Below are 17,685 nucleotides of genomic sequence, written 5' to 3' on the forward strand. Positions count from 1 at the left end.
CCCAAATCTATGCGGTCTAATACACAGCTGCATGTGCTACTGAGTACTGGAAATATGGACAGTATAACTAAGGAATATTTAATGTTATTTAATTTTAACTGAATTTACATAGCCACATATGGCTAGTGACTATCATGTTAGACCACACAGATTTCACATATGCCAGAACTGAAGCTAAATACTACTTAATATATGAACTTACACTGGCACGCTCACCTGGTCTATATTAGATGGTGAAGTGTTGCCTACATGATTTGAAGTATACTGATGGAAGACTGATGGTTCCACAAGACAGAGGCATGACAATAGGGCCCTCATGTATTTAATTGTTTACACTGTGTTATGTTTTGTGTGTCGGGATAGTAATCTACAAATCACACTGCCTGTTTAAAAATAAACTAACCCCTATAATATGGGCAGGTGCCTTAAAAATAAACTAGTACCAATAATGTAATCACAAGATAACAGAAGAAAATGGCAGGGTGATACACTTCCTTATGTAAACTACTTGTCAGGTATAAGGTAAGGTAAAAAACAGTACAGTATAATCAGATATAACAAGAAATTTATTCCAAATTCTCAAAATAACCAAGAAGATTATATGGCATGGGTTTATGCTTATGATCACTAAGTGTATATTATACAGAAATATATATTTTATATTCTGCATTGTTCCTTTGGGGGATACGTTTTTAAGCTGTAAGATCCACGAAAACTAAATAACAAAGTAAACTTAGATCTGTGACTCATTATACCTCAATATGTTCAACCATGAATAAATATTCTGCAATTATTAGTGTGAAAAAGCCTTTTGTACCGCTATTAAAATGAAATAAGAACATAAAAACCTTTTCATTTATCATTTTAAAATATCTATTTATCTATGACAAAATTCACCTCATATACTAGCAAAGCAATACATAAGGCTTATAAATAAATATATGTGTATTGGAAAGGTGTGCTCAAATTATGTTTTGAAATTTGGTGTGCAATCTGTTCTATTTTAGGCTGTCTTATTTGCTTACGGTTTTAAGAAAGAGTTCCTATGAAGAACATGCTTTCTGGCTAAAACAAAGTTTTAAAGCCAGTATACTAGGAACATAGTAAGTCCAGAGATCTTCATGTATTGTGAAAAGCAATAGGTTGCAACGCCCAAAGACCAGTCATTAGTCTTCTCATATCCTTTCTGGCAGCCCTACAGAGCTCAGGGCAAATGAGGAAACCCAGTGTTTCCATGAGAAGTGGGTTAAGGGAGCGCCATGTTCACACATGTGCAAGCCGATCGTGAGCAGGCACAGGGGCGTAGAGCGGAGTCTGCCGAGTGGATGGGAAGACGCTGGGCAAAGGTGCACAACGCACACAGTAGCTTTCCCATTTTTTCCTAATGGAGGATGAGACCACAAGGACTTCCACAGGGCTCCTCACACAGGGACCAATCACGTGGCTTGTTATAAAAAAAGAGGCCAACCAGAAGAATGCCAGCTTATTCGAGTGTGTCACCCAAGCATCCACTAAAGACACAGCCTGCATCCAGATGTAGGGAATCTCAATTTCCACCTTTTAATAAGCTAGATTTCATGTGCTCCTCAAACAACAGGTTTGTCAGAACTGATCCCTGGTCTTTACCAGTTGTGCTGGGCAGGTTTATGTGCTGAGGAGATAAACTCACCCACACAGTCCTCACGGGATGGTGACAGCTCGTGTCCCAGTGGGCAGTCACACTGAAAGCTGCCCTCAGTGTTCACACAGGTGCCACCCCTACAAAGGAGAGGGTTACGTTCACATTCGTCAATGTCTGAAAGGTAAAAACGTGAGATCCATTAAAGAACTCTGAGGGAAAAATATTCACACATACAGCGTGGGAGAAAGAATATTATCTGATGTGAGAGTGTGAGTTAGTGGAAGAGAGATGCTTCATAGGAGATGGGATAACGCTTTCCTCACTTTTCCTACGACCAACAGAAAAACTAAAATTTCTACTCTTAAAGGTAGTAAGCTTTCAAGAAATTTAATTGCATGAAATCAGCAGGCTCACAAGGGGTAGAAATACATAATATTTGCTTTATATCACCACGGACTCATGATATATTGTTGTCAGTTATCCTGGTGTCTGTAACGCTAATCAGGGTGAAGGAGAATCTTAGACTTATAACCTACTATATCCTATGAGGTAGGTCTTATATCATACTGAAAATTAAACAGTGGGCTAAAAGGTTGGGAATACCAAAAGAGTTTGTAATAGTACACAAATAAGAGCAATAACATGGGATTGGCATGACTGAATACAAATCTTGGGGCCACCACACGATGCCATGCATTTTAAAGTAGTCCCACCTAAATAAACAGTCTGTGTGATTTTAGATTCTATGAATAAACAGGATCCAATCTGAGTATCTCATTGCCATGAAGGCGCCAAGAGGTTGGGGCTCCCCGAGAGCTATCCAGGAGCGCATTTCCTGTCTGACATTTAAATCTCTTCTCTCTCTCACCACAGATGCTGGCCACACATGCCGTTCACAGCCCAGAGATAAGCAAAGGTCATGCGCACGAATGAGTCTGTGCTAGTATGGTTTCAAGCTGGCGAGGAAGAGCTCACGGTGCTTACCCATGCAGTTCTTCATCATCATGAAGCCACTTTCATAGCCTTCGAAGCACTCGCACTCAAAGCTGCCCGGTGTATTGACGCAGATTCCACTGCCACAGAGGTCAGGAGAAATCCTGCACTCGTCGATGTCTAATTCACAGGGTTTAAAAGAAATTTAAAAATTGAATGAGATAGACTTGGCCTTCCAAGCGAAGGTGCTGCATGCTTGAAAAGTTGGGGAAATTGCTGGCTAACAGTACAAGGGTATGTTTTCAGTAGACCCAGATAGAAGGGCCTGGGACCTGAGGCACATTCCTTTCCCCAACTGCCAAAACTGCCATGCCAACAGGCAAGTGGTGCCTTTTCACCTTTAAAAATTCTGAATTGTGTATTTGTTTTTGTGGCTTAGAAATCGTAACAGAAAAGGGGGGCATGGTGACTCATGCCTGTAATCTCAGCACTTGGGGAAGCCCAGGCAGGACTGCTTGAGACCAGGAGTTTGCAACCAGCCTGGGCAATGTAGGGAGACCCCATCTCTACAAAAAAAAAATTATTGGGGAGGCTGAGGTGGGAGGATTGCTTGAGCCCAAGAGGTCAAGGCTGCACGGAGTTACGATGTATGATGGCACCACTGTACTCCAGCCTGGGTGACAGAGGGACAACCTGTCTCAAAAAAGAAAAGAAAAAGAAAAAGAAAGAAATGTTAACAGAAGGATGAACCCTGCAACTGTGGTATGGGCTGAATGAGGCAGGTGGTAAATGAGGCAGCCAGGCCCCCATGGAATGAAACCTCATGTGTGACTGGAAGACAGTGCTGGTCTACTACACTAGCCCATGCCACCCCAGGTCGCAGCATGTGAAGGCAGGGCCCCTGTCTCTGTGCAGGAGGGACTGGCAAACCCCAGAGAGACAGGCAGCCACGACGGACCAACCCTGAGCCAGAGAGCACACATAGGGCAGGGCCATGGTGTGTGCCCCAATTTGTGTTTTTGTGTCATATTCAGATGTAAAGAGCTTATTGATTTAGTAAGCCCTTTGGTGACATGAGCTGTCACCAACACCTGAGGACTGTGTGGGTGAGTTTGTTTCCTCTTTTTATATATTACAGTAAATAATCTTCAGCAACTATATTCTCAAACACAGGGTTCTCTGAGAAATCTCCTATGCTTATAACTAAGATTTTTAATAGAGAAGTCATGTCTATATAAAATATGTTTAAGAAAACATGACCTATTTACAAATGTTTTAGTCCAAAAATCAAAAGTTTTTAATCTAAAAATCTGTCAGTGGGGAAAAATGCCCCACTACGATCTCTTTATTTTGATGAACTTAATTTTGAAGTTTTAAAATCACAGGATTTAGTGCATAATTTGTGCATGTTCTCTTGAGAGGGGGGTCTCAGTCTCTGCTTTCTGCCAGCTTTTACTTAGTTTTTCTGTATTTATTTCTCCAATTACAGGAGTCTTTATTTATTTCCCTCATTACTGGCCATGTGAAAAAAATGTAAATACTTTCTTTTAAACAAACATATTAACAGAATTTATTGATTCAATTAAGTAGCTAACAATATGTATATTAATTTTCTTTCTATCTATCAGTATCTAGGACTGGTGTTAAGAGTCATATGAGGAATGTGTTCTAGGGTGGAGCAGGGACAATCTTTGGCTAATGTGATGTGGTGGGAGTTTCATAGTATAAACAGTGTGGATTCTAGAACCAGATACCTGGCTACAAATCCCAGTCTGTCATCTACTGAGAACAGGGCCTTGGGAAAATCATTTAGTCTCTCTGTGCCTCAATTTCCTTATTTGTCATAGAATCCACCTCATAGAGTTAAATGACTATTTGTTAAGTGCTGAGAACAGTGCCTGTCTCATAGAAAGTGCTCTCTCTTTCTCTCTCTCTCCCTCTCTCTCTCTCTCTCTATATATATATGCAAACTTCTCTGCTAAGAATGGGTAATTTGGAGGGTGTGGCTTTTGAATTGGTTCTTGAAGGTTGTACAGAAATGCTAGCTTTAAAGATACAGAATAGAGAGGCAAGAGATGAAGCGCACCGGTGAAGAGAAAGGAAGCATTTCAGGGAGCAGTAAGCCACAGATTGGCTGGACTGGAGAGGCTGACAATGAGTGTGGGTACAGGACGGACCGGTAGGATTACTAAAAGCCCCCAGCATGGGAGGAGACCGGCCCTTCCTGCTGTGAAGATGAGAGCCAACAATTTTCCACAGAACTTCACAGTATATCCAGAGCAATGCAGCCCTGTCAATGTGTTAGAGACATTAAGCAACTTTGGCTAATTTCACAACAAAGGAAGAGGTGGGGTCAGAACTGGAAGAACCCTGAGCTTCTTTATCCAGCACCAGGATTGCCTATACCAGTGGAAGTTGTTCAGTGGGAAGTTACACAATCCAGCCCTGCTTGGATGGTTAACCTGGGTTGTGGCAGTGAAGGATTTGACCGTGGGAACTTAACAGGTTGGGAGATCCTGGAGGAGTCTGTGATACAGTAGATACTGTGACATGTCACCCAGGTCCCTCTTCAGGAAAGAAGGACTTACTCCCCCTCCCCGTCAGCTATTGGTAGTGTCGCTGGCAGAAAGCCCTCAGATGCCCACTATTCTAAGAGGACCTCTTCCCCCATTCCCTGGGCAGCTGTATCCCAAGATTGGTCCTGCAGGTACCTAACTGCATGGCTTCCATGCCCTACTCAAGGCAACTCTGATGGGCCATCCCAGTTCCAGAACTCCCAGTGGCATGGGCTGAGGACTTCAGTGGGACTGCATCATAGCCCCATTTCTTTCTCTGCCCACTTCTGCTTTCCTCCCTTCCCTTCCTCATTGTTCATCCCAGGAGCAAGCCCCGATAAACTTCCTGAATGCTCTTCTCTGCCTTGGAGTCTGTTTCCTGAGGAGCTTAACCTGCCTCTGTCTGAAGAAATATCACAGGTAATTGAAATAGCCAGTTTAATGAAAGAATTCGCATAACTTTTTCACTTTGGGAGAGAGAGACATCAAAATTCAATTGGAGGCTTCAATCCTGTTCAAAATTATACTCCTAATGCATACAGGGAAGTCCCTAGTAGGATAAAGTACAGGGTAGGGGGAAGAGCAAAGAAAGATCAAAACAAAGACAAACTTTCCAGATGGGAAGTTATAAATGTGGGAGTGAAACTCAGGAAGAACAGAGAGAGTTAGAGACAGGGTCTGGGAGTCAGCTCAGCAGAGGCCATCTCTGAAGTCATGATGGTAGATGAAACTCTGAGAGGCAAGACGCTGAGTAGAGGACTCTGGCAACACCCAAGAAATGGGAAAGGCAAGAAGAATCTGTAGAGGTTAGAGAAGAAACATCATCTGCATAGAAGGATGATCAAGACCGGAAAATACCACAGAAACTAAGAGAAAAGAAAATCTCAAGGAGAGATTTGGCAAGCAGAGGTCCAGGAGAGATGTTTTAACACCACAAAGATGTTTTGCAAGAGTAGATGAGTATACATGTATGTGCCTGAGTGACAGAGGGCAAAAGTCAAAATTACAGGACAAATGGCTGGTTGAAAGAGAGGGGTGAGACTTACCAGCAGGAAAACGGGATGGTAGCTTGAGAGAAAAGAAGGGCTGAGGAGATATTTTGAACCTGTGTATAAGTTGAGGAACAGGAAGCAGGGAAGAGGAGATGCTAGAGAGAGGAGAGAGGAGCGAACCTGCTGAGACAACCCAGAGCAGGAGCTGGGAAGGAGGGAAAAGAGGAGTTAACCCCAAATCCAGGTAGAGCATCACACCTCATTCTCTGTCACCGGAGGAGAGGGAGTGGGGGATAAAGGAGATTTTTTTTTTTTTTGAGATGGAGTTTTGCTCTCATTGCCCAGGCTGGAGTGCAATAGCACGATCTCGGCTCACCAAAACCTCCGCTTCCTGGGTTTAAGCGATCCTCCTGCCTCAGCCTCCCGAGTAGCTGGGATTACAGGCATGTACCACCATGCCCGGCTAATTTTGTATTCTTAGTAGAGACGGGGTTTCTCCATGTTGGTCAGGCTGGTCTCAAACTCCTGACCCCAGGTGATCTGCCCGTCTCGGCCTCCCAAAGTGCTGGGGTTACAGGCATGAGCCACCATGCCCAGCGGGATAAAGGAGATGTTATCACTAGAGAGGAGGCTGTGTGAGAAGGATGCAGGCAATCAGATTTATTCTCAATGAAGGAGAACGGTAATAGATGGGGGTGGAGGGTAGAGGAGAGGGCATGTAAGTCAGGGAAGAGGTTTAGAAGCAGTGCTGAGAGGAATTCAGAAAGTGATGAATGGAGGTGAATATGAGTGTTGTCAAGCAGCTTCAAGGACTTGGAGGTGAATGCAGTAATCTCAGGCAGCACTCCTCAGACTCTCCCAGCCAAGTGCAACAGCCAGAGTGGAGAAAACAGGTGAGGGGATGAAGCTCTGGAGACTGGCACAGGGCTTGAGCAGACTTCAAGGCAGCAGGACTTCAGAAAGCCAGATGGACAGCTGTGAAAAGCTCAGAGATAGCCTTGGCTGAGGAGGCACAGGAAAGAGCCAAGAAAGATGTGGCCGTGAGGTCAGGAAGAAGGAGCAGGCAGGAGGGAGTGCGATAAGGGGAAATCCCATGGAGAATACGAACAAAGAGAGTGCTGAGAACGAGATCCTGAAGACACAGCTCAAGGGTCTGGAACAACATGGTATACTAATAGAAAAAGTTAGAACTTCACATCTTGTTCAAAGAGAATGTTATGGGTATGGATGGTGACTGAAAACTAATATTAAGATTCCTGTTCACAGATGAGGAAAAGAAGTAATAACTTCTATATCACAAACCTTAAAATCTTTAAGAGAACACTACTCAAGTTTATATAATTCTTGTGGATTTAATGACTGTATTTCTTTAGTAGTCATATATTTTGAAAATCATATTTGTATGCTGTTCCTAAATATAAAACAAACAGCATTTTCATGATGTTTTGCAGTTCTCTCACAACGAGTTTATTTGGAGAACTGGTTTAAGTGTAGAGAAAAGAAATTTAAAAAATTTACAGAGCTGGATGCCGTGGCTCAAGCCTGTAATCCCAGCACTTGGGGAGGCCAATGCAGGAGGACCACTTGAAGCCAGGAGTTTGAGGCCAGCCTGGGAAGCAAAGTGAGACCCCATCTCTTAAAATAAATAAATAAATAAATAATTAACTTTTTAATTAGCTGTGCATGGTGGCGCACACCTGTGCTCCCAGTTACTTGGGAGGCTGAGGTGGAGGGACTACTTGAGAACAGAAGTTTGAAGTTACAGTGAGCCATGATCATGTCTCTGCACTCCAGCCTGGGCGACTAAGTGAGACCTTTTCTCTAAAAAGAAATTAATAAATAAATAAAAATTTTCATGTTCTCAATGAGAGGATTAGCTTTTTAGGGCAGTCCTTTCAAACAGAGTAAAGGAAAGACAGCCAGAGTTTATCAAATAAAACAGCAGAACCATCTTACCCGTGCAGTTTCTTTCCTCCATGTCTAGAGCAAAGCCACTATTGCAACGGCATTTGAAGCTTCCGATTGTATTTCTGCACTTCCCATAAGTGCACATCCCAGGAAATGCTTTGCATTCATTGATGTCTAAAAGCAGAATGAAGCCAGAATGTAGAGCCGGTTGATATAAACGATTAGGTCCATCACTTTAAGTTAAAAATCTATCATGATGGACAACAGTAATGCATCCAAGTAAAAAACAGGGCTACTAAATGTTTCAGTGATCACACTGATATCACACAGGAAGTTTCAATATGGTGAAAAAGATCTTATATTCTTTTTTTTTTTTTTTTTGAGACAGAGTTTCACTGTTGTTGCCCAGGCTGGAGTGCAATGGCACAATCTTGGCTCACTGCAACCTCCACCTCCCAGGTTCAAGCGATTCTCCTGCCTCAGCCTCCCGAGTAGCTGAGATTACAGGCGCGAGCCACCACGCCCGGCTAATTTTTGTATTTTTAGTAGAGACGGGGTTTCACCATGTTGGTCAGGCTGGTCTTGAACTCCTGACCTCAGGTGATCCACCCACCTCAGCCTCCCAAAGTGCTAGGATTATAGGCGTGAGCCACCACGCCCGGCCAAAGATTCTATATGCTTAAGAAAGAGTTCTGATTCCTTTATTTCTCACTACTTGTTTTATAAAGATAAGTGGGAATAGGTAACTTTTTGCTACAGATGTAGCTATCAGGGCGACATCTCCGGTTGCAGAGGAACAAAGAGTAGAAGAGAAAGATAAGCAATCTGTTTTATCTCTTTACTTCAATGCCATCTTATAGGGGATTTATACTCTTGGGACAGAACATTGGTCACAAAACCTAAGTTTAACTGAGAAAATAAAGTGGGAAGTCAAACATTTAAAGCAAAACCAATTCTCAGAGAATGTGGAAGGCTTCCTGTTGGTGAAGAAGGACCAAGGCGCTGGCCGCAGGCAGTTACCTTTGTAAAATGGCCGCCCAGTAAGAACATCCCCTCGGTTAGCAAAGCCAGCCCCGCGGGGGCACAGCGTCTCGTATTCCTTGGTGCCAGGTTTGGGGCACTCCTCACACTCGGTGCCCCAAGCCGCCCCGACAGCACAGCAGCAGGCATCCATGCGGAACTTTCCAGGAACGGGGTGGATGCATTCATCTTCATCCCACTTCAAGTAACACTGCTCCATGCGAATATCTACACCGAGAACGAAATCACAGGGTGAGAATGAGTTGAAACATCCATTGAACAGTCACATGTCAAGCGTCTGCTCAGCACCAGGCATCATGCAGGACCCTTGCGGTGTACTGGTGGGCAAGATGCAGTCCCTGACCTCCTGGAATGGACTCCATAATGACAGTCATTTAAGGAGAACAAAGGTGAGATCCTCTTCAGTCTTAATTCTCACAAGAAACCCTCAGGAAGAAAAGGTCCTCTCATGAGATGACTGCTTCATGTCTATTACTCCTTTTTTGTATTGTTCACTTTAGAAAAGGTAAGATAATTTTAATGATAATTCTTCCTGTTCAGAGAATTGCTTCAAGTGCCTTTTAAGCAGCCCTGTCAGATCCCATTCATAAACAGTAAATGATCGGCTATAATCTATTTGCCAATTTGTTACAACTATTAAGATCACTACAAAAGAAAGTGTTATAATATTATTACATTTAAAGTTTTTTTTTTTCTCCTGCCAACTTTACCTTTTGCATCATGGTTTTTCCCTGGATTATGTGAATTTTCCGTTTTAAGGGACCAATTATTTGTTTAAATGTCACATTTTCCCTCCAACTTCAAAACAGACCAACATTTCAGTGCTTAGCCTGTGCTAGCCAGGACCTTAGAATATCTATAAACAGTCGCCTACATCTAAAAATAGAGTAGACCAGAATGGTCTATAAATAACATGTTCATCTGTTAGCAAATAGATTTATTTTCAAATCATACTAAAGCACTTGGCTGTTTAATTACAAATATGGATAATGAGTTTGGAAACGGTTCCTTAATCAAATAGCATGATTTCTTTGATAAGAACATTTTAAGACATTAAATCCTTTCCAGAAGCTGAAAACTGTCTAACGGAGGGAATGAGATCCCTGATGGAAATGTACACATAAAAATTAATGTTTACTACTTTAGTTACTGTCAATATTGATTCTTTCAAGTTCTAAAAGGTAATGAGTTACATTTCTGAGTACTGGAATTAAAAAGTTCTATTTTTTTTCTTTCTTTCTTTCTTTTGAGATGGAGTCTCACTCTGTTGCCCAGACCAGGTGTGGCGTGGTGGCTCATGCTTATAATTTCAGCACTTTGGGAGACTGAGGCAGCTGGATCACCTGAGGTCAGGAGTTCGAGACCAGCCTGGCCAACATGGCGAAAACCCATCTCTACTAAAAATACAAAAATTAGCTGGGCATGGTGCTGGGTACCTGTAATCCCAGCTACCTGAGAAAAAGTCCTATTTTTAAGGAAAAAATAACTGTGGTAAATGTTTATTTTGATTCAGCAGACTGAATGTAGATATCTACAGAAGGTGATTCTGTCTTATATATCTACATTAACACAAACCAAAAAGCCACATGCTTTGCCAGTGTGAAGTGTGATAGTAATCCAGCGTCTCATTATCACAGGGCTCTGAGGGGCTAGTCTCCTTATAGCTGGTTCCGTCCCATATGTCAGCAGCTAAGTAAGAATCTTCTCAAGATGTGAAAGTCTTATATAAGTACAGGTGGCCTAAGAACTCTGGCCTGAGTCATACTGTGAGGTTACTGAAGAAACCTGCTCAAGAAGCTCAAGACAAACTAAAAATGTACCATTTCATAGCTTATTGGAATAAACTAGGGTGAGAGGGGAAAGGCATCTGAACTATGCATGTAAAAAGTTATAACAGCCAGGAAGAGCAATCCTGTCTTTAATACTGAGACCTCTATGGATGTTTATATCGGCAATTAAAAGTCAGCACACTACTGAGAACTCTATATTTATATCAGGAATTAAACGTCAGTACACTGGCCACATAAGGCCTATCAATGCTGCGATTGTCCTTGCATGGAAATTAAAATATGAATTTGGAAACCTTTGGATGGTCCATGTTCTCTGAAGTTTGCTGCAGTCCCCACTGCTCCCTGTTGTCGCGTCACTCATTTATATGTTACATGCTTGGCTCCTGCAAGCATCTGAGTTTGGGATCCCTGATTCAGATGAGGTTCTATCAGAGCATTTACCAAAACTTTAGTTCTCAGAATACTTTACATTTTCATGTGCCAGTTGCTTCTTGAAACTTTCTCACATCCCCAGACAGAATTAATTAATATAGCATAATTCAAGTGGTGACAAAAGCATTTAAGCAAAGTACAAGGATGAAGAATCCAATATATCATCTTAGAATATTAAAAAATGCTTTTTTTTTTTTGAGACAGAGCCTCACTCTGTTGCCAAGGCTAGGGTATAGTGGTGCGACCTCGGCTCACTGCAATCTCCACTTCCCAGGTTCAAGCGATTCTCCTGCTTCAGTCCCTCGAGTAGCTGGGATTACAGGCATGCATCACCATGCCCAGCTAATTTTTATATTTTTAGTAGAGACGGGGAGGGGGGGGTTCCCCATGTTGCCCAGGCTGGTCTTGAACTCCTGACCTCAGGTGATCCACCTGTCTCAGCCTCCCAAAGTGCTGGGATTACAGGCGTAAGCCACCACTCCCAGCCATAATTTTGAATAATGTTATTGAAAATTTATTTTGCTGAGTAATAATTTACAATCAATGATATATCTTCATATATTATAGCATTTCATTATAGAAGGTAACTTGATTTCATTAGTCATTTGGCCATACTGATATTATTATTTTTGACATTTTCTTTTTTTAAAATTTCGATAGTTTTGGGGGAATATTTTGTCATTTTCAAATGATACTTATTTCTAAACATTGTAGATCACTTAAAGATAATTTTTAAAATATTTAAAAATCTGAAAGACATTTTCTTTATTTTTGTACTTTGGATATTATGTTTTCTAAATAATTTTGTATGATTTTACAGTCATGCTTCCAATCCAGATTTAAATGTGCTATCAAAAACTGAGTTAAAAATGAAATCTGTTTTAATTATAATAACTGTATGGTATTGCAAACTTTTTTCTTACAGTAAATTTTAAAAATCACTGATATGTAAATACTTTAAAGGTGATTGCATACACCACCACTATTATTTATGCTTTGTCTACATGTCTAAATTTCAAATACAAATCTATGTAAAGTTCTTTTATAAACTAAAAATTTACTGTTCCATAGCTTATTGGGGGAAAAAAAATCTCTGTAGGTAAATGAAAAATTATTGTTACATACAATGAAAATTAATAGAAATTTCTTTTTCAATCATGAAATTCAAGTTCAAACATGACACTAATAAAGAAAAAGGTCAAATCACTATTCCTATAATATGCTGTTGAAAGAAAGAGATTCATCACTACAGATCTTTAAAAAATAAACTATTAAGAAAACTTAAACTCTAATAGCAATAAAGGAAGGACCAGGATCAGTGAATGATTTCAAGCAGAAGCAACATATCTTTGCTCTTGACTTTCCCCACTGTCTTCAGGGTGTAGCTGCAATGAGCTGACAAATGTAAACTTTTAAAATCCTAGTCTCCAACTTTCCTGCTGTGTTCAACATATTCTTACTCTATTAACTCAGTGTGAAAGACTGAACCTGTCTAAATTATCTGGTTAAAGAAATGGAAGATTTTGAGATAGATTTTTGAGCAGTCCCAACTTTTGGCATGAAACAGAAACAATTTCGCATAAATACATTCACTTTTAAAACAGCCTCTAGTGATTTCCCCCTAAATATCTCATTTAAAGCAAGTTTTCTCAAGTACAAACTCTTGTGGTTTTGGACTAGCCACTGCTTAAACAAGGAAATTCATGGCTTGTTTTATACATAGAATACATGAGGGTGTGAATCTTACCCAAACATACACGGCCAGTCCCATCCAACGTAAGGCCTTCAGGGCACTCGCAATGAAAAGATCCCTTACTGTTGACACAGCGTCCATTTGGACAAACGCCAGGGAACACCTCACACTCATTAACATCTGCAGGGAAATGCAGCAAGCAGAGGAGCAAAGATGTTACAAATAGAAAAAGCAGGTGTGGTCCTACTTCCTGTATAGCATTTTCAATCCACATTCAATACAATGTGGATTATTACTTGAGTTAAACAGAAATATTCCACAACCGAGCCACCCGCTTTCCTAGGTACCAGCTGTGAAAATTACCACAGCCTTGCCTGTCCATAAAACATGGCCCAGACATGTGCCTTTCCCAGCTGTTCTGGGCCTTAAAGGCTAGCGATGTCTTCATGAAATTTACACAACTCCATAAAGAGGAGAAACGGGAAACTCTAAGCTCTTTCCTAAGAGAATTATGCTAAAGCATTTGTTGATTACATCGAGTATTTTTATTGAAATGTCAAGGTTTTTGAAAATGATAAATATCTCCAAAGTTTGAGAGTGAATGTTAATTTTACTTACTGCTCAAAAGATGTATAGTATCTTCCAAGGAAGGATACACTCACCTTCACACGTAACACCTTTAATCCTGGCAAGCCCTCTTGGGCAAGCTGTATCTGTAACAACAACAGGACAAATTTTACTTCATTATAGAATAAAATACAACCATGGTATGCTCAAGAAGAAGTATAATGAAATCTAAATGGAACTAAATAAAAAATGCAAGGCAGGGTCTTAGGGTCCAAGGACATCATTGTCCCCTCTTCATTCAGTAGGGCACATGACTTTCTGTGGTAACTCCATTGGTATTGACCTGTATTGAGATTCTCATAATTTTTCCTACAATTTCTTTTTGCTGTCACATTGACAACTGAGTTAAAAGTAAACAGGTCAGGCGCGGTGGCTCACGCCTGTAATCCCAGCACTTTGGGAGGGTGGATTACTTGAAGTCAGGAGTTGGAGACCCATCTGACCAACATGGTGAAACCCCGTCTCTACTAAAAATACAAAAATTAGCTGGGCATGGTGGCGGGCACCTCTAGTCCCAGCTACTCGGGAAGCTGAGGCAGGAGAATCGCTTGAACCCGGGAGGTGGAGGTTGCAATGAGCTGAGGTCACGCCACTGCACTCCAGCCTGGTGACAGAGCGAGACTCCGTCTCAAAAAAATAAAAGTAAACAAAAGATTTGAGGAAAACAGCCACCACGCAAACAAGGATACCAGAGGATACAGTCATCTAGCAGATAGATTCTAGCTGATTCCCTTCCATGTTAAAATATTTAGAAGGCCTGCTTATGTACCAGGATAAAACAAATACACATTTTAAGAGGTAAAAAACATTAGCCAGGAAAGATAACATTTTAGCAAAAGTAAATGATCTCTGACCTTCTTCACTAAGGAACTGCGTAGTGAAAGAGGTGTCCTAGTGGCAGGAGAAGTTTCCAAGGAGAAGCCCAGAAGCTCCCAATAAGGCTCCTACCTAGTTCACACCGCTCACAGGGGCTCCCCCAGGCGGCTCCGAGGGTGGCACAGCATTCAGATTTCAGAGTGGCTCCATTAATATTCACCTCACAGCGGCTGTCCTGGATGTTGAGCCAACAGGTCCCCTTCAGGCTGTCTGAAAAGGAACAGGAAAGGTTGGGGAGCTCTTACCTCTGAAGAAAATAGAATTCAGCTGTGTACACAAAAGGCATTTGTTACAGTATTCTAAAAAAGAAAGATTACTGGCTCACGCCTGTAATCCCAGCACTTTGGGAGGCTGAGGAGGAAGGATCATTTGAGCCCAGGAGTTCGATACCAGCCTGGGAAAATAGCAAAACCCCATCTCCACCAGAGGAAAAAAAAAAAAAAGAATACTTTAAAAGTTTTAATAGTGGGGCTGGGTGCAGTGGCTCACGCCTGTAATCCCAGCACTTTGGGAGGCCGAGGCAGGTGGATCACCTGAGGTCAGAAGTTCAAGACCAGCCTGGTCAACATGGTGAAACCCCGTCTCTACTAAATATACAAAAATTAGCCAGGCTTGGTGGCAGGTGTCTGTAATCCCAGCTACTCGGGAGGCTGAGGCAGGAGAATCGCTTGAACGCAGGAGGCAGAGGTTGCAGTGAGCCAAGATTGTGCCATTGCACTCCAGCCTAGGCAACAAGAGTGAAACTTCGTCTCAAAAAAAAAAAAGAAAAAATTTTAATAGCATATACTTTGAAAATACTTTCATGTACCTGCATTCAAATATGGTATATTACATATATGTAAATAAAATATTATACTATGTATCTCTCTCACATAATATGGTAATTAATATAATTATATCTATTGATATTCTAAGAGGAGTTGTCCAAGATTTTATGCTGGTACTCAGAAACACAGTGCATTGCCATGTTGCCCAGGTTGGTCTGGTTTGGAACTCCAGGCCTCAAGCAATCCTTCCACTTCAGCCTCCCAAAGTGTTAGGATTACAGGCATGAGCCAGTGCGCCCCGCCCTTCTTTTTTTTTTTCTTTTAACATACTATAACAACATGATAAGACCATCACTTGTGTGAAAAGTATTCATAAGATATATCCTTAATGACAAATGCTTTGATATTTAAGATTTTATCGTATAAAATCCTTTTCCTTCTACCTTAAGTCCCTACTAAATAAATCACACACAATGTATGTTCTGTTATGCAAAGGCCAATATTTCTCCAGCTGAAGATAATTATTTGATGAATAATTTAAAAGAAAAAGCCCTATAAAACGAAGAAGGAATAAACATCACTTATAAAACCCTCACTAATGCATTCCCAGGGCTAATATCTGATGTATTTTCTTTCAGGCACTTAAAAAATGTGTGTATGTGTGTGTGTAGATTTATCTCTAGTTCAAAAAGTAAATCATACTTATGGTAAACAATTTGAAGAAATAGAGAAGTATGAGGAAGATGTAAAAATCACCTGTAACCCTCTAGAGATAACCATTCCTAACGTTTTAGACTGACTCCACATCAAATTTGTTCTTCCTTTTGAATGGTAGAGTACCCAGTGAAATATTATGCACTTTAAAATTTTTATTTTATGTGGATTAAAGGGAATAACGAATGGTTAGTATATTTTTGGTGGCATAATGAAAAGTTTTTCAAATGAACAAATAATAAATGACTGTTAACTGATTTTGAAGCAGTGATAAGGAATCCAGTCAAAGCTGATATAGCAAATACTAATTGGCTAAAACAAATCATATGTCATGTTTTCCTTGTAGAGCAGTGGCTCTCAGTTAAGTGTGCATAATATTACCAAGACACTTGTTAAAATGCCGATTCATAAGTTTCCCGGTATGCAGCCCAGGAATCTGAATTTTGACAAACTCCTCAGGTGATTCTGATGTGAGTGATGTGGAAAACACTTTACCAAAACCTCAACAGCATATTGTGGCATTAAGACTTGGAAGAAAACAAAGAATAAGTGTATTCCTATAGTATTTATTTGAAAATTCATTTTAATAATATGTACAGATAAAATTTACTTCTGGCCAGACACAGTGGCTCATGACTATAATCCCAGCACTTTGGGAGGCTGAGGCAGTCGGATCGCTGGAGCCCAGGAGTTCAAGACCAGCCTGGACAACATGGTGAAACCCCGTCTCTACAAAAAACACAAAAATTAGCTGGGAGTGATGGCACATGCCTGTAGTCCCAGCTACTCAGGAAGCTGAGGTGGGAGGATTGCCTGAGCCCCGTAGGCAGAGGCTGCAGTGAGATCGTGTCACTGTATTCTAGCCTGGGTGACACAGTGAGACCCTGTCTTCCAAAAAAAAAAAAAAGTTTTTACTTCTAAATTCAACAACAAAAATACCCCCCTGCCCCCAAACACAGAAAGGGAATTACAATTAAACCATGGGCCTATGATGGCAGAAATAGTAATTTCTGATTCCCTAGGAAACACAAGAAGTTACCAACAACCCAAACACCAAGACAGAGGTTGAAACAAAACAATTCTCTCCTGTACTGAATAAAAAGTTACAGGGCAAAGGTGTGAAAAAGAGCTGGACAGTCACTTTGCTTTTTCACTCTGGCTGGAATGTTCAGTTTGGATAAAACTGTAGAGAAGCATTTGTGTCAGGTCTCAAACTGCAGGCTTGTTATAGATTTACATCTGTAAATTCCATAGCACAGAGGAAACAGAGATGTTTGTGTAAAGCTACTGTGTATTTAAATGATCTTTTAATGACCTGGACTAGTTCTGATTTATCACCTTGTCATCATTTTAAGTAAGATAAACAACAGTTATTGCTAAGATTTATCAAGATAGTGACAGGAACTGGAAGGCTTTCTATGTATTAATTTATTTACTCATTAAAACAACCCTGTGAATTATGTACAATTTGCAGATGAGAAAATTTAGGCACACAGAGGTCAACCAATTTACCCAAGGTCACCCAGCTAGTACAGTGTCAGCATCAAGATTCAAGCCCATGCAGTCTGACTCCAAAGCCCTCACTCTGTAGCACTGTGATTCTTTAGGCTGGTGCTGTATCAACACTTGAAAAGCTACAAATCCATTGATAGCACCCCGCACCCCCCTACAGGCTCATCCTTCTCTCTCTCCGATTCCTTTCCTCCATCCTCCCTCCCTGTCTCCCCACTGACCCA

General features: G+C 41.0%; 1 protein-coding gene across 2 annotated transcripts in view, besides 1 other annotated feature; it reads right to left on the reverse strand.

Moving 5' to 3' along the window:
- Window positions 1-17,685, reverse strand: part of FBN2 (fibrillin 2) — a 280,337-nt gene that overhangs the window by 78,419 nt on the left and 184,233 nt on the right. For both annotated transcript variants that reach the window (XM_017009228.3, NM_001999.4), the window contains 7 exons: window positions 14,541-14,678; window positions 13,628-13,678; window positions 13,020-13,145; window positions 9,030-9,257; window positions 8,058-8,183; window positions 2,606-2,734; window positions 1,670-1,795 (listed from right to left, as the gene is read on the reverse strand). In XM_017009228.3, coding sequence (XP_016864717.1) covers window positions 1,670-1,795; window positions 2,606-2,734; window positions 8,058-8,183; window positions 9,030-9,257; window positions 13,020-13,145; window positions 13,628-13,678; window positions 14,541-14,678 — 924 coding nt within the window. The remainder of the gene's footprint in view (window positions 1-1,669; window positions 1,796-2,605; window positions 2,735-8,057; window positions 8,184-9,029; window positions 9,258-13,019; window positions 13,146-13,627; window positions 13,679-14,540; window positions 14,679-17,685) is intronic.
- Window positions 8,712-9,911: an enhancer, noted in NCBI's record as "BRD4-independent group 4 enhancer chr5:127680731-127681930 (GRCh37/hg19 assembly coordinates)". NCBI's record gives its function as "activates an origin of replication core promoter dependent on BRD2, P300/CBP, MED14 and CDK7 cofactors, and independent of BRD4, by STARR-seq in HCT116 cells {active_cell/tissue: HCT116}" and the evidence as "EXISTENCE:reporter gene assay evidence [ECO:0000049][PMID:35650434]".

Source organism: Homo sapiens, chromosome 5, assembly GCF_000001405.40.
Source record: "Homo sapiens chromosome 5, GRCh38.p14 Primary Assembly".
NCBI classification, from domain to species: Eukaryota; Metazoa; Chordata; class Mammalia; order Primates; family Hominidae; genus Homo; species Homo sapiens.